Source organism: Homo sapiens, chromosome 2 (assembly GCF_000001405.40).
Source record: "Homo sapiens chromosome 2, GRCh38.p14 Primary Assembly".
Classification (NCBI taxonomy): domain Eukaryota; kingdom Metazoa; phylum Chordata; class Mammalia; order Primates; family Hominidae; genus Homo; species Homo sapiens.
This window is the reverse complement of record NC_000002.12, coordinates 70,481,657-70,507,561: the sequence shown is the minus strand read 5'-3', so window position 1 is coordinate 70,507,561 and position 25,905 is coordinate 70,481,657. Positions and strand designations below refer to the sequence as shown.

The 25,905-nt window shown below is 41.3% G+C and overlaps 1 protein-coding gene across 4 annotated transcripts in view, besides 1 other annotated feature; it reads left to right on the top strand.

The window, feature by feature from the left end:
- TGFA (transforming growth factor alpha) overlaps window positions 1-25,905 on the top strand; it is a 106,543-nt gene that overhangs the window by 46,265 nt on the left and 34,373 nt on the right. The window lies entirely within an intron of this gene.
- Window positions 3,371-3,665: an enhancer, noted in NCBI's record as "tiled region #10182; HepG2 Activating DNase matched - State 5:Enh". NCBI's record gives its function as "activates a minimal TATA promoter and a strong SV40 promoter by Sharpr-MPRA in HepG2 cells {active_cell/tissue: HepG2}" and the evidence as "EXISTENCE:reporter gene assay evidence [ECO:0000049][PMID:27701403]".

Below are 25,905 nucleotides of genomic sequence, written 5' to 3'. Positions count from 1 at the left end.
TAGCCAATGTCAACAAGAGGAAAATAGTTATGGAACAGGTAGACAGATAGGCTACTATGTAGCCCTTTAAAATCATGTTGATGAGGAATGTTTAAAGATTGGGAAAATACACATGATATATACATAGAAAAAGTAGTATATAAAATTGGATGATGTAACTCGAACTTATAAACTATATACACAGATGCAAAAATACAGGGCATATAGTGTTCACATTAATGATCTCTGGTTAATGAGACTATATGTGAATTTCATTTGCATTGTGCTTTCCTGTTTTTCCAGTGTCTAGAAAGAAGAGGCAGTGGCTGCCCTGCAGGTCTGTTGGCCAGTGTGCACTGAGTGCAGGCTGCCTCGGCCTTGCAGTCCAGTGACTGCACCTGCCGAGGCTCCGAGGCTCAGGCAGTACGGCTGTTTCTAGAGCATGGGGAAACAGTGGCGCCTTGCATGAGGGACACCCATTTTTGTAGCTTGGCTCCCAGGCCTCACTCCCCTGCACAGCAGCACTCACAGGACCTTTGCTGTCTGGATGAGTTGTCCCCAGCATTTGCCACTTTGCCTCAGAAGTCTGGGAATATTCATCCAAACTCTTCTTCAGTGCCTGTGACTCCTAAATATTGACCCACTTTGCAGAAATTTCAAGTACTTAACACTTCCAGGTTTCAACAGAGAGGTTGGGTCTTTCTGGGCATCCAGGTCTATGGTCAGTCTCTCAAATGTGAAGACTCTGAAACCAGACAGTCCAAGTTCAAATTCCACCTCTGCCACCTACTAGCTGTGAGACCTTGGGCAAGATACTTAACCTCTCTGTGCCTGGCTTCCTTGCCTGTAGAATGGGGATAATAATAGTACCTATCATAGGGTTGATGTGACAATTAAGAGTTGACTATAAAGCACTTGCAACTGTTTGTATACACGGCAGCTACTCTAAGTGTTAGCTGCTGCTGCTGCTGTTACTACCCTTTTTATCATTACTGGTGATGCATACAGTGTGAAGCAAAGCTGTATCTTTATGGTTACTTTTTGCCACCTGGAGTTAAGTCCTATGGTAGTGGTCTTACATTTCAGTGTGCGTAACAGTCATCCTGCTGACTCTGTTGAAATGCAGATTCCTAGGCCCTTACAGCATGCGATCCAGAAATCTGCATTTTTAGTCATCAACCACATTTTATTACAGTTGGATGGGAAGATGAGGCTGAATGTACTGCCCTTGTAGGCTGAGATACTCTCACCAGAAGGTGACAGCACTTCTCCATCCCCCAAGTTCTTGCTTTACCTCGGCCGGACAGTGCTGGTCACTGGGAGTCTGTGAAATGTGTGTGACCCAGGACTGACTTTCTAGTATTCACCCAGGACTTTGGTAAAGAAAAGTCAAAAACCTCAGAACTTGGGCCACCTCAAACCTCAAACGTCTTCTCTCTCATTGGCCTTACTGTGATGAAATGATGAACACGGTGGCTTTCTGGTGAAACATCAGCTCTGTTTTCTGGCTGTGCAAGCCCAAACTCCTGGCTTCTGAGTTCAGAGATTGACCTGGAGCATCTGGTTATTTACTGATGAAGAGACCTGCAGCTATTTTAATCCAGTGAGGCTCAGATGTCCCCACAAGCAGGCTCTCCCACTGTTTGCTTTATGGATTTGTTCAGAATCTCCTTTCCTCGTTTCCTGTCTTGAAAGTTACGGCCCAATTACGTTATCAGAATGTGTAATGGAAAGTGATTTCACACATCTGGCCATTTTATCACCAGGTTGCATTGACTAAAATGTTTCTTAAATACCAAAACACAGGAGAAAATGGATTAGATGAAGCAGAATGGAGGGCCTCAGTTCTATTCACAATGTAGTGGGGGCTCAAAAGGAGAAAGTTTTTTGTTTTTTTTTTCCTTCCTAGTTGTCACTTAGCAGCTTCAGGAGGAATCCCTCTTTTAGGGTCTTTTTTCGTTTTGACTTTTGGGGGCTTGGATTTAATGAGCATGTCTCCTTGCCTTGCACAGTAGGTCCAGAAAGGTATCTTTAAGATCTTGAAAGTGAAACTTGTCGGGTATTGCTATGAAATCTGCCACAAATGCATCTTCCTGGTGCTCTTAGATATGAAAAATAGAAATACGATTAATCACCTAACAGTCCACAGGAGCCTCTATATCTGATATCCTGTTAAAGAAACAGCCCAGCACAGTGACAGGCTCTAGAAACCTAGATGCACCCCTGACCAAATGATAACCAGATTGCAGTTGCCATTGTGGGCAATTTCCCAGGGATTCAGCCCTTGACCAGTGCTTCCCAACCTTTTTCAGAATAAAGATCCATTTTTAACATCAAAATTGTGTGAGACCCCACAGAGAGTAGTTGTGCCTTTATTATTAACGTAAATTATATTAAATGAGTTAATAAACATAATGGTCAAAAGCTGCTATGAGAACTCAGTGACACTTTAAAATGAATTTGTATTTTATCAATCACAATAGAATTTACATAATAATATGAACTAACACTTATAGAGTACTCCCTATATGCTGGGTGCTGCTCCATTTAGCTTTATTTATTTCTACAACAACTCTAAGAAGAAGGTACTACTATTAGCTCCATTTTACAGTTGGCAAAATTGAGGCACAGAGAAGTTAAGTAACTTGCCCAAGGTCACCTAGTTAGAAAGTGGCAGAGCTGGGATTTAAACCCAGGTAACTGGCTGCAGAATTCTAAGCACTTCACCACTATGCTTCAAAAACATACACACACACAGATACACATACATCTCACTCAGACCACAGGTGTTATTTGAGGGGAGATTTACAAACACTTTGCATTAAATAACTGTGTGACTCTTTTTCTTCCCCTTCCCCAAGACAGATTGGAAACCACTTTCTTGGGTTTTTAACCCTTCATTTCATTAAAATTTAGACATACAGCTTAAAGCCAGGTATGTGTGTGTATAACTATATGTGTGAATGTGCACATGTATACATATATACCAATGCACATGTGAGTATATGCATGTATGTATATATAAGCTTTTATTTTTATCTTATCACAAAACTATGGAATCTTCTGTGTGTGTGTGTGTGTGTGTGTGTGTGTGTGTGTATGTATGTATGTATGTGTGTATATATATATATATATATATATATATATATTTGTTTTGTTTTGTTTTTGGTTTTGGTACAGAGTCTTGCTCTGTTGCCCAGGCTGGAGTGCAGTGACGCTATCTCAGCTCACTGCAACTTCCACCTCCTGGGCTCAAGTAATCCTCCCAACTCAGCCTCCCAAGTAGCTGGGACTACAGGCACATGCCACCACACAGGCTAATTTTTGTGTTTTTTTAGAGGTGAGTTTTTGCCATGTTGCCCAGGTTCATCTCGAACTCCTGAGCTCAAGTGATCCACCCACCTCGGCCTCCCAGTGTTGGGATTACAGGCATGAGTCCCCGTGCCCAGCCTGTATACATTTTCTTCCACTCAACAAACACTGACTTGTTTCCTGTGATGGACTTTGTTCTGTGGTGTCTAGGTTCTTATTATTGTAAATGTTTTTGCACAAACCTGGTCACAAATAGATGTTTCCTAAAAGAGTCTTTTCGTGAATTGACTGAAGATGACTGTGTCAGTAGGCTTATGAAGCACAGGGGATTGAACCTGTCAGACTCCAAAGTCACAAAGTCAGTGGGGATGAAAACGCAGTCTTCCCTCTCCTTAGCTTGATTCTGTGCACAGAGCTCACCATCTGCTAGCCACCTTGGGTGTATGTCCAAGGACGGGGCCTCTAGGTCAGAGCAAATGGATCGCTTGATTTCCGCTTCTCATTAACATGTGAGGAAATCATGCCTTTTTATTATTTAAATTTGGCTTGATGAAAAGTTGCCTACAAATAAAAACTGTAAGTATTTGATAGCACGGTGGTTAAAGTCAGGAGCCAGATGACCTAGATTTAAAGCTTAACTGTGCCCCCTGGGGACTATGACCTTAGGCAAGTTTCTTTTTTTTTTTTTATTATTATTATTATACTTTAGGTTTTAGGGTACATGTGCGCAACGTGCAGGTTTGTTACATATGTATTCATGTGCCATGTTGGTGTGCTGCACCCATTAACTCGTCATTTACATTAGGTATATCTCCTAATGCTATCCCTCCCCCCTCCCCCCACCTCACAACAGGCCCCGGTGTGTGATGTTCCCCTTCCTGTGTCCATGTGTTCTCATTGTTCAATTCCCACCTATGAGTGAGAACATGCGGTGTTTGGTTTTTTGTCCTTGTGATAGTTTGCTGAGAACGATGGTTTCCAGCTTCATCCATGTCCCTACAAAGGACATGAACTCATCATTTTTTATGGCTGCACAGTGTTCCATGGTGTATATGTGCCACATCTTCTTAATCCAGTCTATCATTGTTGGACATTTGGGTTGGTTCCAAGTCTTTGCTATTGTGAATAGTGCTGCAATAAACATACGTGTGCATGTGTCTTTATAGCAGCATGATTTATAATCCTTTGTGTATATAACCAGTAATGGGATGGCTGGGTCAAATGGTATTTCTAGTTCTAGATCCCTGAGGAATTCCCACACTGACTTCCACAATGGTTGAACTAGTTCCGTTTCTTAACCACTCTGTGCCTCCGTCCCCCATCTGTAATGTGGAGATAACAGCAGAACCTACCCCACAGGGTCTCCGTGAGAATGAAATGAGAGAATATACGTAAAGCACTTAGAACAGGGCGAGGCTTACATAGGACACAGGTAAGTCCTATGTAAGTATTTGTTATAATTCTTTTCATTTAGATTTACAAAGACAGAAAGCAATAACATTCAAGTAAGAAATGGTATCTGAAATACCAAGATGGCCTGAGCCAATTGATGGCAGAGACATGATTTGAGCTTAAAGTCATAAGGGCCATGACAGGATCAATCGCATAACTCAACACTAAGGAGTTATTTTTGACACTTAAAGAACAGATCAGCTGGGTGTGGTGGCTCACACCTGTAATCCCAGCACTTTGGGAGGCCAAGGTAGCAGATCACTCGAGGTCAGGAGTTCAAGACCAGCCTGGCCAACATGGTAAAATCCCGTCTTAGCCAGGCATGGTGACTCACACCTGTAATCCCAGCTACTCGGGAGGCTGAGGCATGAGAACCACTTGAACCCGGGAAGCGAAGGTTGCAGTGAGCCTAGATCATGCCATTGCACTCCAGCCTGGGCAATAGAGTGAGACTCCATCTCAAAAACAAAAACAAAAACAAACAAACAAAAACAGATCAAAGGAAGCCACACTTTGGCTGTTGGGAAGTAGGGTCATGGAACCCGCTATTCCAGTAGATGCCAAAACACTGAGCTTTACTTTTAGAATTACAGCACCCAAAGCAGAGAAAACACACCCCCTCGGTGCTTTCCTTTACTTATGGGAGACGTGGAATGCTTTGCACTATTCCAGCAACAAGATTCAGGAGGAACATCGATAAATTGGAGGGAACCACCAGGGCTGCTGTGTGGAAAGGCTGAAGGCCAGAGAAGCAGAGGCACAGGAGGGCAGAAGAGGAAGGCAAAGGAAGGTCTCAGCTCCCTGCAAGTGCCCAGAACCTGCCACACAAGCACAGAGGTGAAAACGGCAGGACCATTTGCTTGAGGAAGTCATGTTCTCACTTGCTCGCTTGCTCCACAGAAGCCCTTTTCACACTGTTCTTTAAAATACAAACAGGTTGCTCTCCTTTGGTGTGAAAGGTTCAGGGAGAGGTGATGATCACAGATGGAGACTATTCATAGCACTTTATGTGAGAAAAGTTAGCGCCTAATTTCCCTTTTGATGCTAATGCTGTAAGAATTGAAGTGAGAGTACAGGTTAGAAATGTATAAAGATGGAAAATAATTAGCTCATTAAATGGAGAGTATACCTAATTGGGGAACTAGAGCTATTTGAGTTTAAATTCTTTACCATCTGGGGGACAACGTGGAAGAAAATCATACCTGCTCAAAAAAAGAAAAAGAGAGTTCTTCGGTACCCTGGAGTAACAGGGTATTATTATACTGAAGGGCTCTTTGGCCCAATTTAAGTTGACTTTCTCTCTTTCTTGTTTAAGCATTTTTGTGAGTGAGCAGGAGGGCTTACTGCAGAGGGCTGTACTGGGCATCAGAGATGAACCAAGGACAGTCATTGCCCTTGGGTTCTTCTCAGTGGTGAAGGTGACAAATAGAACTGCAAACCATTGCCTGAATTAAATGACTGTCTGCCAGACTTGTGAACAAAATGGTGTTAGGAAGGATGCAGGCTGTCCTCTCTTGAGGGCACTGAAGAAGTTTCCCTGGAGGAGAAAAAAAAAAAAAAAATTGCAAGCAAAGAGCACTTTAAAAATTTTTTCTTTAAAATTTTTTTGACCAAAAAATATATGTGGTGTACATGTTCCAATATAAGTATACATTAGGGAATGGCTAAATCAAGCTAATTAACATATGCAGGAGTTCATGTACTTAAGACCCTCATCGCATAACAAATACAAAAATCGACTCAAAATGGATGAAGACTTAAAAGTAAGATCTGAAACTGTGAAACTACTAGAAGAAAACAGAGAAAGAGCTCCATAACATCAGTCTCTGCAATTTTTTTTTTTTTTTTGGAGATGGCCCTAAAAGCACAGGCAACAAAAACAAAATAGAGAAAAGGATTACACCCAATTAAAATGCTTCTGCACAGCCAAGGAAACAATCAACAGTGTGAAGAGACAACCTATGGAATGGGAGAAAATATTTGCAAGCCATCCATCTGATAAGGGGGCTTATATGGAAGCCTACACAAGGAGTTCCTGTATAAAGAACTCAAATGGCTCAGAGCAAGGGTGCCCAGGGCCAGCTCTTCTAGGAGAGAGAGCCCCTTTGATTTAGGATACAGTGGAGGTAGCACCAGACAGTCTGTTTTACTGCACTGGGAGAAGGAGCTGAGTTGAGCAGTTCTTCCTCCCTACTGGTCACGTTTCAAGTCAAAATGATCAACCTTGGTAGAGTGTTGGTACTACAGGGCTATTCAAATAGTTGCTCTTGGAAAAAAAGTAGTACTAACTCATTTAGCCACAAGAATTCTCCAAAAGTACATTTTGCCATTAAGACTACAAGTTAACTTTTTTTTTTTTAAACTCTGCTTAAGTAGTATCACTTTGTGAGTGAATGTAGCCCCTGAACCAGGATGTTGTTTGGGGAGAGAGCTTTGATGATACCAATATTTTAAAATATCAGTGTATTTTTATTGGTGTTCAAAGGCTGATACTATTAAAAATCTGGACCAGAGAGGATTCTCAGTTAATATTTTTGTTTTTAAGTAAAAGAGTTCCTGATGCCCAGGCCACTTGCATGTGGTACCTCCTTGAAGAGGATATCCCGAGAAGCCTCTGGCAGCTCTGTCTAGAACTGCATCGTCCAATATGGCAGCCACATGCAGCTGTGGAGTGCTTGACACATGGCTAGTTCCAATGGAGATGTGTTGAAAATAGATACCATATACCATATAGTGAAGACTTAGTACATTAAAACTGAATATCTTATCGATAAATGTTTGTATTGCTTGTTTATTGAAGTAACACTATTTTGACCTTATTTGGTTAAATTAAATACATTATTCAAATCAATTTCACCTTTTTATCCTAAAGGTGGCTACTAGAATATATAGAATTACTTATGCGGCTTATGTTTATTTCACAGTTTTAGAACCTTGCGACACATTTGTTTTCACTCACATCCTTTCCTTCAATCCTGGGTTTCTCCCTAAACGCCAGCCCCAGGGTCATCCTTCCTCAGTCTCACCCCAATATTGTGCTGCAGCCAGCTGTTGAGTGCTTTCTCATGTCCCTGTACTTGTGAAAATGCTCTGCATACGGATGAACCCCTAGTGCAATGTCTGACACAATAGATACAAAATAAAAGTTGAGTAAATAAGTGAATACTAGCTCTCTGTAGCTCACCTATTTCTTTATAAAGAAACGAAGTACAGAAAGTTAATATGGCATCGAGGTTACTTCTAAAAGTGTGGACCATAGGCTGTTGGCATAAGAATCACCCAGAACGCTTGTAAAAATTAAGATTTACTCCAGACTAAAAGGTTCAGTCAGGAGATGTTAGGTTATGCTGCAGTGACAAAATTTCACTGGCTTAACAGCAGGTTTAACTCTCGGTCACTCTGTGTCCACTGCGGGCCCTGGGATACTCCCCAGGAAAACTGATAGTTCAGGTTAGACCTCCATATCAGCAAGTGGGATCCATCAGCAAGCTGGGTACTCCCGCCTAGTTATGCGTTACTTGTCAGTGCTCACATTTCATTCTCTGAAACAACTCATATGGCCATACCTAGCTCCAAGGAGACCGGGAAGGCCTCTATATACCTAGAAATAGAGGTGAGTGTACACTGGTAAGCAATGGGAATGTCTGCTTCATAGGCCAAATGCAAATCTCAGAGGTAGGGCCTGGGGATCTGCATTTTTAACTCCCCTAGTGATTCATATTCACTGTAAGTTTGAGGACCATTGAGTAGAACTAGAGTTCTCAACTATGGCTGCACGTTAGAATTACCTGGGGAGTTTTAAAAACACTAGTGTCCTGGCCCCACCCCAGAGATTCTAATTTACAGGGCCTGGGGATGGCATCCAGGCATCAGTAATTTTTAAAACCTCCCCCAGAGATTCTAGTATGCAGCCAGGGTTGAAAACCACAAGTGTAGGGGAAAAAGAGGGAAGGACTCTTGAATCCTGACTCTAACACAGACCGAATCTGGTTTTGCATGTCTGTTGAAGGCAGTAAAGATCAAATGAATGTGAAAGCATTTGTCAACTATAATATAGAACAAATACTGGCCATTATACACTGGCAGGTGTGGACTTTTATGCAAACTAGATCTGTGCAAGCTGTCATATATGTATGACATGATCTCACTGCCACACACAAAACCAGGAGAGGAGGGGCAGCATCCACCACACCTTTGCACCTGCCACCTTTTACAGTCAGTAAATGGGTGGTCCCTTCTACCTCCCCTCCCCTCCACTTAACTTGATGATAAAGGGGATAAAGAGAAGAAAAAACTCATTCCTTGTCTTGATTTTTTTCTCTCCAGCCTGTTCCAAAACCCTTAGCCCAAGCCCCGTTGCCCTTACTCTCTGTTAATCTGAAACTGGTGCCTCAAACCTCTGGTCCTCTGCAACCTCATCTCCTCCTCTTCCTGCAGCCTATTTCCCACCTGCCACCCTAGTCCCATGCCAGGAAAGGCAGGGCCCTGGGGGAGCCCCAAGCCTGCTGGCTGATGGTTTGAACAGCATAAGGAATCCATATTCTCAGAAAATTTGTGCCCAACATTGTCCCTGGTGGTATTGTTAAGAATGGCAGATTTAGCAGCACTCTGTTTAAGAGGTGAGGTATGCAATAGGTAAGACCAGCTTTTATGAGCTGCTCCAGCTCTTTCACCCACTTTTTGTAATATTCTGTTTCCTGTGGATTCTGAGATCTCACCAAATGATTTACAAACAAGCTCTTGGAATGCTACTGTTATGTAAACTGGAAATTGTACCAACAGTCAGTTTTCTTTGGTTATAAAAATACCACATTGGCTTTCTTCCATTGGCAGAGCTAAGAGTTAATGCTGGAATAAGCTGTTTTTAGTTATTTTTCCTCTTGTATCTAACAATTTTCAAGGCAGAACAATGCAAGAGTACCTCAAGTAAATAACTGTAACACCTTTTGTGAAAATACAGATTTGCGCATTTGATATGAATTAGCTTTAAAAAATGATGGAAAGAATTGCTTAGCCTGGATAGCTGTGACATAGGTTCTGTAAAATGATTCTTACTGGTCAGGCTGACATGGCCAAGGTTCTTGGCAGTGGAAGTTTTATGTCAAGCAGCAGATCACAGGCCACCACTGTCTTTTCAAAACCTGGAGGCCACTTTCTCTTATCCTACCCACCAGCCTGGCCCTCCTTTCTACAGCTGGTTCTTAATCAGAAGTTAGCAGGGCTGGGATGCAATGTGCCCAAAGGAGAAGATGCTCAAGGACCTCAGCTCCTTGTAGGCAGTGACCACTGGTGCAGGCTTTTCTTATTTCAGTGCCTCCCATATAGTAGGTGAAGAAAGTGCTTTTCATTATTTTGTGCATGGGGTTAGGTCTGGTTGTGGACCTTGGAGATTCACTGAATTGAACAGAAATGCTTAGCAATCTTAAAATGAGCCTCCTAAGTTAAGATCTATGTCATATACTTTGTTGCAAAGAAAATAGTTAAAAATGTGTGTAAGCTTCTGGTTTAAATGGCAAACCCAATACTGCATCTCTCATATCAACAGCTACAAGAACATACATAGTAACATACTCTCAGAGTAAAGTCCAAGCTCTCCATTGCCCTGCAGAGCTCTGCCGGGTGCAACACCCATTCCCACTCCATCTGTAGCTCATACGTCTTTCTTCCTTACTTTCTATGCTCCGGTTCCCTGGTCTCCTTTCTTTTTCCCAGATGTATCATGTCCTTCTCTAACTTCTAGGCTTTGCACTTGCTCCTCCTTCTGCCTGGAATGCTCTTTCCCCAGTTTTTCCAGTGGCTGACTCATTCATGTCCTTCGGGTCTCAGATGTGCTTCACCATTTCAGAGAAGTTTTCCCTGCATGGTGATTCTGGCAGTAGCTCTTCATCACATCTCTGTGCATTTCCTTAGTAGCACCCAGTGCTGTCTATAATGATTTCGTTTGTTTATTTACTTATTTGCCTGCCTCCCCCATTAGACTTAAGTTCCTTGAGGGCAGGGACCTTGTCTGTCTAGTTAATTAATGGATCCCCAGTACCCAGCACAGTGCATGACGCATACAAGACACTTGATATTTTGTTGAGTGAGTAAATGAATGAAGGAAGTAAAGAAGGAAGGAACACTATGCACCATACCAAGTGCTTTATATCACCCATTTTGCCTTTATAACATTCCCTATTGATTCATGGGGAAACTGAGCCCCAGAGAGTTTCAGTGACTTGCCCAAGGTCAGAATTAGTAAGTCACAAAGAGCCAATATTTGCTCTCAGGTTTGTCTGCCTATAAAGGTTTGTGCCAGAGTCAGGTCTGAGGTTATGGTTCAATATTAAGTTTTTGCCTCTTTCTGTATCTTCATAGGTATAATAGCATGAAGTATTCTGTTTTTTTTTCCCTGTGGCTCAAAATTTTTTGTCCATGGCCTTTGAAATAGGTCCTTTTCTGCTATTTTCTGCAAAAGAACTTGGTGGTAACAAGAAAGGGTTCTGGTAGAAGCATATTTTGGAGGGAGCTGTGGAGATCTGCCTTGAGTGTGAAGATTACGAATGACTCTTATTTGAGAAGCAATATGTGTCTTAAAGTCTCATTTTTAAAAAACAATAAAAATAATTTATGGCAGCAACTGGAAAGCAGTGTCCAAGCTTCAGATAACAGTGATACTGCTCTGGTAACACCACCTCCTTCCCCCAGTCTCGGGGCCTTCAGGTTCACACATGTGGGTATGGCAGCAGCTTTGCAGTATTCAGCTGAGATCTCCACGGCAGCCAGGCTCCTCAGTGCTCAGGAGCCTCTGGTTGGAAAAGAGATAAATCACTATTTCTACAAATTATATGAGTATATATCAAGGAAGCACGCACAAACTGCCACAAATGCCTATTAGAAATCTTAAAAGTAGCCAGTAGGGTGCAAGTAAGAAAACAGTCAGTAGTTTTCCTATAAACCATCAATAACCAATTAAAAATATACTGAGCAGGAGGGGAAAATGGGGAATTATTATACTATTCAAACGGTAGAATGTTCCAGTTATGCAAGATGAAAAACTTTATTGATCTGCTGTACAACATTGTGCTTATAGTTAATGATATTATACACTTAAAAGAATCTCCCTCAAATAACAATAATCATAGTAACAATAAAAAATATACTGGAGAGAATCACCTTCAAAATAGTTGTAAAATATAGACTATAGACCAAGTAGAAATAATCTTTAAAAGATGTGTCAGAATCTGTTTGAAGAATACCATAAAATTTCCTTTTAAGGTAATTTATTTGACTAATAGAGAGACCTGTGCCCCTGGGAAAGTAAAAGGTTATAGAACTGTTCTTCCCATTATTACTTTAGAAACCCAAGGCAGTTCTAGTTACTCTTTCCACAAGATTAGGATGAATAAGGGGGAACTTAACTAAATGATTCTAAAGTTCACCTTTAAGGCACAAGAAAATGCTCATGTAAAATGTGGAGGGATTTGTACCTCCAAATATTAATAAACATTAAAACACTGAAATAATTAAAACATTGCAACACTGGGACAAGAATAGACACATTCATGAGCCAGCATGGCAAGCTCCAAAAGAAACCCAGTTATGCATAAGCTGACATGTGATAGTAGTGGCATTTCACATCCATAGGGAAGGAGCGGACCATGTCACAAATTATTCTGAGATGGTAGGTTAAACATTTAAAAAGAATCTAGATCTAAAAACGTAATGACATTCTAAAATAAGTTCTAGGTGATTGAAATACTTTTTAAATGGAAGCATAAAATTTCTCCAAGGAAATAAGTGGATATTTATATAGCTTACACAAAAGGAGGTCTAATCAGAGCATTGAAAACAGAAACCATAAAGGAAAATAGAGACATAAAAATTATAATTTTCTGAACATCTCCTGAAAACCACTATAAATAAAATCCGTATTTGCTAGTGTTTGAATCCTAAAGAGGATTTATATCCTTAATATGTAAAATAAACTCACACACCAATAACAAAAATTTTAACACATCAATAAGAGAATAAGCAAATTATTGGAATAGGCAAGTCACAAAAGAAAAACTACATACGGCCAATAAACATAGAAAAGATGTCCAGCCTTACTAGTCATCAAAGAGATGCAAATTAATGAAATATCATTTTCATTGGTCAAATTAGTGAAGATAAAAATAAGAGCTGCGTACAAAGCAGATAAGGTCGGAGACTTATTGGGTATATAAATTGTACAACATTTATGAGAGCCATTTGGTAATACTTATCATAAGGCTGAAAAATAAGCCCTGCTTATCTGTTGACCCAGAAATAACACTTCTAAAAATTTATCCTAAGGAAATAAGCATGGGTGGATTTGTGCCAAAACTTAGCTTAGTGTTCATTGCAGCCAGATACTTATCAGGAAAACTCCAAGCACAGACAGATGATTGAACAAACAGAAGGAAATTATTTTCATTTGGTGCAGAAGGCTGAATTGTGGTCCCCCAAAGATGTCCAACTCATATTCTCCAGAAACTCTGACTATGCTACCTTACATGGCAAAGGGGACTTTGCAGGTGGGGTTAAGGACCTTGAAATGGGAAGAGTATCTTGGATTATCTGAGTGGGCCCAGTATAACCACAAGACCTTTATAAGAGGATGGGAAGAGGTTCACAAACAGAAGAGAAGATGTGTTGAGGGAAGCAGAGCTTGGAGTGATGCAGCCTCAAGCCAGAGGATTCAAGCAGATTCTAGAAGGTGGAAAAGATGAAACAGATTCTCCCCTACAATCTCCAGAGGGAACCATCCCTCCTGGTGATGACACTTTGAGTTTATCCCCATAAGACTCATTTCAGACTTCTGACATCCAGAAATGTGAGATAATGTGGGTGATTTTAAGCCACTAAATTTGTGGTAATCTGTTATAGCAGCAATGGGAAACTAATGCATTTGGAAAAGGAGGAAAAATCAAATTTGTACTAATGTAGAGCGTATACACGAGTTGGTCCTGAGTGGGAAGTTCAGAGGCCTAGATTCTAGTCCCAACCTTAGGAAGTCACCTCTTTAGAGCTCCTTTTCTTCATCACTAAGGTTCCCTTCTTGCTCTAAAGTTCTGTTCCTCCTTAAGCATTTGTTAACCATCATTAGGTATGTCATTGTTATGGCACTGGTAAGTATGGGTGAGGCTGCCGAGTAGATTTTAGTTTATTTGTTTTAAAAGCTGGCTACACTGTTGTTAGCATTTTCCTTTTTGGGGTGGGTGCTTGGGTGAATAGTGTGTTCTCATATGGGGGATTCTGGAACATTTCAGAGGGTACTGTGGAGGCAAACACAGAGGTTAGAAGCCATCAGAACCAAAACAAATCGGGGGTGGAGGCCTCACAGAGTCTCCCATGGTGGTCCTAGGTCTTTCTGCAAAGATGTCCTGAAAGATCCCTCCTACCCAGACTCCTATGCTAAAATCACTGCAAAATTTTGTACATACAGAATAAGAAGTTTGAAGCTATAGTGTCACGTCAAGGCCATGCAGTGGAACAGCCCAGGTTCCCCCGGTCACTTGTCCAGAAGGGAAGGTGGGCCTCCTGAGTCTCCTCACATGCTCTCTGGCCCATAGAAAGCCGCAGTCAGTGCTGCTGAAGGAAACTGAAATGTGAATGGTGAGAGTTACTGCTTGATACTACAGGGTATATGGCATGTTTAATAACTTGGTACGTGGAGCATTTGGGTTTTATCATGTACATTCTTTCATCTATATATAAGCACAGGAACCATAATCAATATTCATTACCATTTGAGATTGAATATATGAAAGATAAATATATACATGTAGTTTTCATATTTGTATATGAGCCTATAGGGAATGAGGGCTACATTTTAAAATTTTTAAGTGAGAATGAGTTTTAAAATCAGAATGAATTAGTCTTATAACCATTGGACACAAATTGCTATAGAATTTAGCATTCTAACTAAATGTAAAGTTTTTTTTAATCAGGGAATAACATGAAAGGCACCTTTGTTTTTCAGAGCACATTTGAAGCACAATTGGTGATTAAGAAACATGTAAAAGGGTCGTAGTTATGACTTGTTAACCCAACATTTGGAAAAGTTGTGAAATGGAACCTGGGTTTTGAAGTTAAAGATGAGAATATGGAAAACCCCTACTTTACACGAATTCAGTTCAATAATTAAAAGGGATGTCCAGAAACATCAAGGTGAACAAAGCCTCATACAGTGAGAGAAGAAAACAGAAGCCTGGGCCTGAATCACCAGACAGTCGTGGCGCTCTGGAATGGCCCTGGTGCCAACCAGCAGAGAGCATCCTTAGACAAGTCACTTAACCTCTTGCTTCTGTTTCCTTGTCTATGAAATGGGAAAATAATGCTTGTTTGCCTGGCGATGGTGAGAAATGGGGCATGCAGCCACTCATCTTGTCCACACTGGACCTCAAGGGACCACAGTCCAGCTGAGAAGATGTCAGGGCCATGCTCGATTGACCATGATCCAAGCCAGAGCCCATTAATTCCTGCTCTAGAGTCCTCTCCTCTGGGCTCCACCTTCACCAGGTGTGGAGAAGGAAATGGCGCATTCAAGTATCTGTTAAGGTGCAATTATAGGTTATGGGGTAGCTCGCATCAATATAGGACAAGCTTGCTCTCTCTTCTTCCCTTCCCAAGCCCTGGCTATGTCAGGTCCCAAAGTTTTGTCTATATTCTTACCTTCCACCATTTCTTCCCTTCTTGATACTTTTTCCTCTCCCTGTATCATCATAAATCTTAGACCTCATGCAGGTCTAAGATCCTGTGAATATAAGGCATGACTTGCTCATGGTTTTTCTTTTCTGCAGCATCTAGCCAAGTATTCCTGCACAAGGAAAGAGCTAAGTTAATATTTGGTAAGAAATTTAAAAAATGTAGAATTGAAGTTCTCACCTACAAGAAGCTGGAGATGTGCCATTGTGCAGCTCATTTGGTGGGTTTTATGCACTCTTACTCTATGATGTGTGGAGTGCTGCCCTGGGACTTCCCAAGGGATGAGGGTAGGAAACTGACAGAGCCATGGAATCTTGCACAGGGCAGGGAAGCCATATGTGAGCCTTTCCTTAGGGGGCCAGAGGACAGCAAAAAGTGTCTTTTGCTCATAAAGGAAGAGCCCTTCAAAGAATAAAGGCAGTGCCAACAGTCATGTGCATGGGACCCTGTTATGCCACTGTCTCCGGGGAAGGGGCATGGCTGGCTGGGAACAGGGTAAGAGGGAGACTTGACATTGTACACTTTCATACTTTTTGAATTTTCAAAAAGATAAAGGGAATGAACTTTTTTAAAAACCAAGTTTCATATAGGCCAGTTCACAATCCAGAGACTCATGGAAGCACAGGTGGGCTTTGGTGGAGCCATCTTGAGTGGAGTGGGCTTTCCTTGCCTGGTGTGGTATGGATGACTTCTGAATCATACCAAGCTGAAAACTTTGGTTTGGGTTGGGAGGGTTTTGGGCCCCCCACACTTTACTGAACTGAAAGCCACTGGTCCTGGCCAACCTCCCCACACCTTATTGTTGCCATGCCCCAACATGGGTTTGTCCTGGGAGACCCCATTCCAACCCCATCCCTGATACTACATACCTGGCTGCTGAATAGCCTGAAGGAAGCACCATCCTGAACCTCCACTCATTGTCCTCAGACCCAATCTCAGCAAACTTGCTGGGTTTCTGGTGGGGCCATAGGAGCTGACAGTGCCTTCTTAATAGGAGTTCAATTAAAGGTAGATGGGTAGGTGGGTGGGTGAACTCTGTGCTGCCTCTGGGCTTGGACTACAGAATGCTGTCAGTTTTTCTGTGATCAATTCCCCACCGAATATCGTGATATCCTATATAAAACCTGATCTGCTTGGGGAAACCTGAACCAAGAGCCACTTTCTATTTTTCTGAGTCAATTTTATGAATGGCTTGAATTGAATGGAAAGGCACTAATTGGTCCACAGACATATCTACACTTTATGTTTTGTAAGCGGACTCCAGGACCAGATAAACAAAAAAAGCATGGGAAGCACCATAAGCTGAGACTTGTCTTTGGAGCTGACATCCTGCCTAGGTGGCTAGAACGTTAGGGCAGATGTCTTTTCATAACTCACCTATGAGTTGAAAGCAAAATAAGGCAGGAAGTTAGAGAGAGACCAATTCATACCCCCTTGATTATTTACTCAACATGATGCTGAAAGACATTTGTGTTTTTTGGAAGTTCTATCCCCTGGCAGTGAAACAAAACCTCCTTTCTAAGCGGGAAAGATTGATGTCCAACTGCATTAAAGGAGTGTGTGAGTAAAAGGAAACTCTGTATTCTATAAGTGAACACAAGAACTTCCACTGTACTTACGTAACTGCAGTGCAAAGCGCATTATCCGACTGAAATTTCCAGTGCTAAAGGAAAATTGTGCTAAGGCTGAAGCACAAAAATGTTCCCATTTGCCATCATTTGAAAATTACTATATGAGGAGGTTTTGTTTTAATTAGTCACAAGGTGGAAAGAAGATGGGAGAGAGAATATCTTATCTTTTACCTTCTCTGAATAGTGCAATTCGTTGTTATTTTCTCAAGTGCATCATTTATTGACACTATATGGTAAAGACATCAGATTGGTGGTTATATGTTCAATTTATTTTCAATAAATTTTGCTACAGTTGTTTATAAACTTTCTATGATTCTATTTATAGTCCAGGAAGGGATTTCTCATTTTTTCTTTTAATCTATTTGTGTGTATACTAGACCAGTTGTTCTCAAACTTTGCTATATGTTACAATCACCTGAAGAGTTTTTAAAAATCCCATTGTCCTGGCTGCACCCCATAACAATTAAATCATTATCTCTGGGTGTGGGGGTGGGCCCTGGCATGGGTACTTTTCCAAGGTGACTGCAATGCGTGTGGAAGATTGAAAGGCGGTAAACCAGAGCTACATATCTCAGCCTACAATGTGTGGAGGACTCTCCTGGGGGCCTGGTTAAAATGCAGATTCAGATTCAGTGGCTCAGGGGTGAGGCCTGACACTCTGCATTTCTAACAAGCTCCCAGGTAGCACCAGTGGCACTTGTCTGTGGACCACATTTTGAACAGCAAGTTCCTAGACTATAAAAGAGAACCTATAGCTAGACCCTACATGGTAGACACAGTGAGTATAAAATGCCACACAGGTTCTCACTTGTCCCTTGACTGCTTTGTAAACAAACAGCAAAGCCACCACAGCCTTTATCCTCCTTTTCCTGTGAGGATTTTTGTATTTTATTTGTAAGCACCGAAGGAAAAGCCCCTCTCTCAGACATTGTCTGATGGTTTTCTTGTCCTTGAGCACATCAGTGACCCCTGAGTTGGAGACTGGGGCGCCCCCGCCTTGAATGGGTGGCAACCGTGTGATTCTCTGCCCAGCGGCTCACCGTTGTGGGAACATTCCCCAGGCAGCCCAGAACATCCTGGTCTTGTGCTTCGTCTGGTGTTGAGAGATTTTAGTAAACACTGCGTGGGAAGAGGAATGAAATAGGGAGAGAATGAGGTTAAGGAATGGGTGTGTGAAACTCCAGGTTGAGCGAAGCCAGGGTGCCTCTGAGCAGCATTCCAACGCCCACCTTTTTCTAACAGCTGGTGGGAGAAGGCGCTCACCTGCCCAGGGAGCCTCTGCCTGTGGCACAGAGCCAGGCACCCTCTCCCCAGGAACAGACAGGCAGCACAGTTTACAGAGGAGTAAACTGAGACCCAGGGATGGGAAGGACTTGGCCAAAGTCATCTAGAGTGAGTGTGACAGAGCTGCTACTGGGGCCCGTGCTGCTGACTCGGAATCTTTTGTGCCATCTTTCCAGCCCTGGAACACCCTTCCAGCCTCCAATGTATGGTATTATAGCAGGGCTTGGTGGCTGGAGGCCTTTCCTTTTTCTGTCAGGGATGGTTAAAAGTAAGCTGACGGTGTTACAGAGAAATAATAAATCCAGCAGTGGTGGTTGTATGCAGGACTTCCATGGAACTTTACTGCAGGGTGCATCACAGAAATGCGAATAAATGGAGAAGCATAGCACATTTGTGACTAGGAAAACTCCTTGTTGTAAATGGGCCAGTTATCTCTAACTTGATGTATAATTATAATGTCAGTCCTCTAACGGTTTGGATATGGGGAAGAGAACTTATAAATGATTCTAACGGTCACCTGGAAAAACAAACGGGAGAGTATTCAAAGTGTTTTCAAAAAAATGAGGGGTAGGGGCAAGGGAAGATGACAAATTTGTAAATTTGTACTGCCAGATATTAAACATATTGCAAGGTTACAGTAAATGCTTTGGTGCTGGTACAGAAACAGAATCTCAGTAGAACTAAGTAGAAAGACTGAAAGTGAGTTATTAGCCTATGATAAAGGTAACATTTCAAATCAATAAGGAGATGATAAACTGTTCAACAAATGGAGTTAGGATAATTGGTTGGCTGTTTAGAAAATAATGAAATACGTCTTATGCACTAAATATAGATGGTTTAGAATTAAATATAAGCAATAAAATAATGGAAGGAAGTGTAGGTAAATATTTATATAATCTTAAGAAAGGGAAGGCCTCTAATAATGTCAGGGTGACTTCTGCATAAGCAAAAGGAAGACACAAACCACAAATTATTTGTAACATATATAACGGGATACAGAGTTATTAGTATTTTAAAGAGTACTTTCAAATAGACAAGAAAGAATGTATCACTAGAAAAGTAGGCAAAAGATATAAACAGCTAATTAACCAAAGTTGAAATACAAATGTTAATAATCATATGAAAAAAATCTACATCAAGAAATTAAGAAAATGCAGTTAACATAAGAGATTCTTATACATTGCCACGAAATTGACGAGAAGGGAAATGAAAAATATCTAGCATTGGAACGGTTATGAAGAAACACTCATCTCCTCCTCAGGGGAGTGTAAATTGTTACAAATTTCCTGGAATGCAGCTTGATAATGTGTCTCAGAAAAAGGAGCATTCCTTTGCCACACTAATTCTACTCTCAGAAAAATAATCATAAATGTGCGTGAACAAAGATCTATGTAGAAGGATATTCGGTTTCATATAATGTTTCATAATAGTGAGATATTGGGAAGCTATCACAATGCCCAATAAGAGGAGATTGGTTAAACAGTATATATTAGATGAAAACTTCAGCCATCAAAGATTACCATGTCCAGACTAAGCATCCCTAATCCCAAAACCTGAAATCTAAAATCCTCCACAATCTGAACCTCTTTGAGCACCAACATGACACCACAAATGGAAAATTCTACACCTGACCTCATGTGGTCACAGTTAGAATACAGTCAAAACTTTGTTTCATGCCCAAAATTATCTACAATATTATATAAAATTACCTTCAAGATATGTGTATAAGGTATATATGAAACAAATGAATTTTATGTTTAGAGTTGGGTCCCATCCCCAGGATATCTCATATCTCATATATGTATATGCAAATATTCAAAATTTGAAAAAATCCAAAATCCAAAAGACTTCCAATCCCAGGCACTTTGGATAAAGAATACTCAACCTGTAGCATAATACTTAATTGAGTTGGGGAAGTGTTCATGAGTAGTATCGTTTTATTCCCTGTTGGGCACACAGAACACAAAATAAAGACAATATTTATATTCCAAAGTTTTAATAGTGGTTATCTGTGAATGGCTTTTGCATGCTTTGAGTTTATTCTTTCTTTGTACTCTTCTGTTCTCTCAAGTTTTCTCTCTTAAACATGTATTGCTTTTGCAATTTCAAAAGTGATTAAAAACAAGAAATAGGGCTGGGCGCAGTGGCACATGCCTGTAATCCTAGCACTTTGGGAGGCCGAGGCGGGCAGATCACGAGGTCAGGAGATCGAGACCATCCTGGCTAACACAGTGAAACCCCATCTCTACTAAAAATACAAAAATTAGCTGGGTGTGGTGGCGGGCTTCTGTAGTCCCAGCTACTCAGGAGGCTGAGACAGGAGAATGAGTGTGAACCCGGGAGGTGGAGCTTGCAGTGAGCCGAGATCGTGCCACTGCACTCCAGCCTGGGCAACAGAGCAAGACTCTGTCTAAAAAAAAACACCAAGAAATAGGCAGGCATGGTAGCTCACGCCTATAATTCCAGCACTTTAGGGGGCCATGGCAGGCAGATAGCTTGAGCTCAAGAGTTTGATACCAGTCTAGGCAACATGCAAATCCTCATCTCTACAAAAAAACACAAAAAGTAGCCTGGTGTGGTAGCGCGCACCTGTAGTCCCAGCTACTTGGGAGGCAGAGGCAGGAGGATGACTTGAACCCAGGAGGCTGTGTTTGCCTCACTGCACTCCAGCCTGAACAACAAAGTGAGACCCTGTCTCAAAAAAAAAGACAAACAACAACAACAAACAAACAAAAAACACAAGAAATGAATAAAGGCAGGGGGTGCAATTATAAGGATCTTGTTGCAATTTGCTTAGATGTTTTTGAGAGACAGCTTTGGTGTTTGTGGTTGGGGTCTCATACAACCAAGAGGAGTATACCTTAGAGGTACTCAGACACGGATGGAAGGAGGCAAAATATCCTGCCTTTGTTCCCTGTACCCTTCGTCCCTTAAGGGCCACTGTGGAATAGGTCAGAATATTCATTGTTTCACCATCTAAGTCTACAGAGGTCATTTTTGCCATATTGGCTGGAGGCAAAATATAGACCTCCATCTGCAAGAAGAGTGTCACAAGTGGGTAGGTGAGGGAAAAGTCCACTCCAGTGGGCAGTAGAAAGCAATGACTTCCTGATGTAGCAGGCTAGGAAAAATATGTTCAGGGCACTGTAATTAAGATATATATTTTGTGAGCTTTTGCCTTTCAAATACTATCAGCTTGGCATTTGGGAGTGTAGAAGAGTCCTCGGTTCCAGGAGGAGGAAATATGATTGTGAATTGTGACTTCCTGCTGAAGGATACAGCGTTGCCCCTGATGTAGCCAATTAGTAAGTATCTGGTCTTTCTTGACTGTTCATCTGAGACTTGATGGAGAAGGGCCAACACAGCCAGCCACCAGAGTGGGGTGGTTGCCTGTATAAATGCAATATATGAATATAATTTCAGCTATAATGTCTTTGTAGCATACAAAGACAGGGAAGTAAGTAAGTACATGTTTGGCAAAAGAGCCACTGAGCTGATCAGTATGTCCCTAAGCTGAAATTGCAGGGAGGGAAAAAAGTCTCAAAATGGTCAAGCCAGATGCTATGGGAAGGGTAGCAGGGATGGTTTGAAAACTAAGCAGTGCTCGGTTCCTTTGGATTGATTCTCAGTCTTCAGAGGTGATCCTGGATTTATTTTCTAATTTCATAAAACACTAAAAGGGACTGTGCCAGCACTTTGGGAGGCCGAGGCAGGTGGATCATGAGGTCAGGAGTTCGAGACCAGCCTGGCCAACATGGTGAAACCCCATCTCTACTAAAAATACAAAAATTAGCCAGGCACGGTGGCGGGCACCTGTAATCCCAGCTACTCGGGAGGCTGAGGCAGAAGAATCACTTGAACCCAGGAGGCGGGGGTTGCAGTGAGCCAGATCGTGCCACTGCACTCTAGCCTGGGTGACAGGGCAAGAGTCTGTCTCAAAAAGAAAGGGGGGGGATGACTGTGAAGGTAGGCGTATCAATTTAGGAAGGGTGAGCTTGAGAGAAGAAGGAAGAGCGGTAAGGCTACAGAACACAGTATTGCTATAAACAAGACTTACCACCTTGGGTAACTACAGATTTATAGCTCACTTTGGGGGCAGTGAATAGATGAAACTTGGCATTTTAATTCAGTTTCTGCCTGTGGGCTTGTTGAGGAAATGTTTTTGGAAAACTGAAGCGAATCAATGGTTGCAGTGAGTTGAATGGGTGATTCCATGATCCTGTGGGCACTGGAGAATTGGTGACAAGGAATAGCATTATAAGAAGTCAGTTGAAGAACAGATCTTGTTCCGAATACATCAACTAGGGTTCTTTGGTTGCAACAATCAATTCCAACTAACTTGAACAAAAGCAACTTTGTTGGAAGGCTGTTGGGAGCACACAGAATCTGTGGGAAAGCTGGAGAATCACCCTTAGAACAGAACAGTAACCCAGATGACTCCAGGAAGCCAGGAATCAGGAATGGCAGATTCTATCTCAGAACAGAAACTCTGCTCAACATGCCACAGTTATAATGCATGAATTCCATCAGCATTATCTTTTTGTCTTTCTTATCAAGATTCATATTTGAGGTAAAGAGGATGGAAGGGTGGGTAGCACATCTGAACATGGTGATAAGCCAATGTAAACCTGTAGGGGAAGAGGTAATTCCCTAAAAGAAAACCTGAGTGCTGTTATGAAGTAAAGAAATGTTTGCCAGGCAGCCCCAAATAAACAAATAGGCTCAATAATGACATGGACAGTTGCTTCAAGAAAAAATAATCGGGATATCAAAAGTTAAATCATCATAGATCAATTCTGTAGATAGATGGTTGATCTAAGAAATTAATATTGTCTGGATCTTGATGACAAAGTAGTCATAAGGATAGAATGTGGTTTGGCAACAAACTTCAGATGGGTATATTTTCTGGAAATCTCAGCATGCTGCAAATTGAACACCTGAAGAATTCTTTACATACTTGTTGGTTATGTATTACTCAGAAGATAAAGAAGACAACAGGGACACCTGCTTCTGTGAATGCAGTCTTGATCAGAAAGGATAACAGGTTGATATCTATATGTGCTATAGAAGTGAGAGAAGGAAACACTAGGTAGAGTTCAATTTCAGGCAATCAGAGTGTCCAAAAATTCAGGGTAAAACCACATGTGATCCCACAAGCATGATTCTACAAGGGAATAAGGCCAGGCCAGTTGAGAGGCTCATAGAGTTCTGAGTTTGTAGTCAAAGGGTTCATGAGAAAGTAAAGGGGAGAGAGACTGTAAGGAACCCAAATGTGGCTGCAGAAGGAATTCTCTGATACATCATCTAGTAAGTTATGCAAGAACATCAAAAGAAGGATGTGTCCCAAGAGGTGACAAAGAATAGAATGGAAGAGCACTTTGTTGAGGGAACAAGCACGTTAGTGCCTCCTAGGTGGCAGGTGTTTATGAGAATGTCAGGAAAACTGAAGGACAGAAAGAACTAGAGTTGTGGCTATTGGCCACAAACCAATGGTTTTCTGAGGCTATCTTTGGGAGCAGACAGGTAAAAAAAGGAAGGAATAAGTCCATCTCTTGTGGCAGGTAGAAAAGGTTAGTGCAAAACCAGGAAAAGACTATTATTGACATAATTTTGCTTTTATATTTTCTGTCAAAAAGAATAAAACAAACATAGTAAATATGAAATAAAAGGTTGAGTGAGTATCCTAGTAAAAGACCCCTAATACCACAGATGAGTTTACTCATCACAGGTACAGATGAATTTTACTTCAATGTACTGAGAAACCTGTAGCAAAAATCACCCATCCCTGTTGGTGATTTTTAAGAAATAGCAGCAAATGTAAAAATTGCTCAGAGAATGGAAAAAGACAAATACATTTCTGACTTTAATGATGTAAAAATGCCTGAAGATTGTTTAGAATGTAGATTATAAAACTTGACACTCCCAGGAAAACATTAGACCAATTTATTACAGCAAATAAAGAATGAAAAGTCACAGCAGATTAACTTTACTTCTTTTTTAGTGTTGTAAGACTGATGAGGGAAATGCCACCAGCATAAGGCTGTATAAGAGGATACACGTTGAGTTCAACAAGGCACATGACAAAATCAAAATATTCAGTTGGACAAAATGGAGAAATATGAGTTACAAGAGTTCACAGTTGGCTAGTTGGTGAGAAGGAACAATGCCAGTGACCTCTTTAAATGAAGAGATCCCCAAACATACTCAACATGGGTTTACCTAGAAGCTTTTGGGAAGGGTAGGACGTTTTTAACTAGGTCATCTTCAGAAAACATTTGTTGATGTATTCGCATTGACCTAGAAGGGGGACTCCTGGGTGTGCCAGCAGGCTTTATCCTTCTTTCCTGTTGAGACTTTTATGAGCAAATCAAAGGAAGACATATAAGGAAAAGTTTATCAGATTTAGAGACAACACAGTGCCCAGAATGATAGCTGAAGTATTGGATGATAGAATAAAGACTCAAGAGAAAAAAAAAAAGTTTTGAGCCAGAACAATGGATCACAGCCAACCAACCAAGTTAAATTGAACAGTGACACATTTATAATAACAGTCAGTATTTAGGTTAAGAGTAATGATTTAATCAGGAAGATATGAGGCCAAATTTGACAGTAGTTTAAGTGGAGAAACAGCCAGAGGCCTTAGCTGACCACAAATTTATATAATCCAACAGCATTCCAGGACTGCTGGCAAAATTGATGGAGAACTAAGTTCTATCAATGTAGAAATCAGGTCATGGGAGGTGGTTTTCCTACTGTACTCTGTTCCTGTAACCTAGAGCTTTAGAGCTAGGACTCTGAGGTCACACTGCCTGTTTTTGGATTTCCCTTCTGCCTCTTCCTAGCCCTACATCTTTAGGCAAGGCTTTTAACCTCTCTAAACCTGTATTCCTCATCTGTAAAATGGATAGAATAATAGAACCTATATCACAGGGCTTTTATAAGAATTAACTTAGGTAGTACGTATAAAACTGTTAGCACAAAGGCCAACATCCAACGTATTTGGTAAATGTGTTTTGTTGTTGTTGTTGTCCCCATTACTCTATAGTAGACTATTTTAAGAAAGGCACTAAAAAAAAAAAAAATCAGAATTTTCCCTGAGGTGAGAGGTTTGCAGACTTTCTTGCTTAAAGAATACTTATAGAAACTCAAAGTGTATGTTATTTATTGCTATATGACAAATTAAAATTTAGTAGCTTAAAGCAATAAACATTTATTTTCCCACACAGGGTCTGAGAGGAATTCAGAAGTGGCTTTGCTGGGAGGTTCTGGGTCAGGGTCTCTCATTGAGGTTGCTGTCAAGATGGCAACTGGGGCTGCACTGTCATCTGAAGGCTTGAGTGGGGCTGAAGAATGGCTCACTTACAAGCTATTGTTGGGAGGCCTCAGTCTTTCCACATGGACCTCTCCATTGTGTGTCTCAATGACTTAGCAACTAGCTTCCTCCAGAGTGACCAATCCAAGAGAGAGAGACAAAGAGAACAAGGCAGAAGTTACAGTGCCTTTTATGACCTAGTCTCTGAAGTCACATCCCATTCAT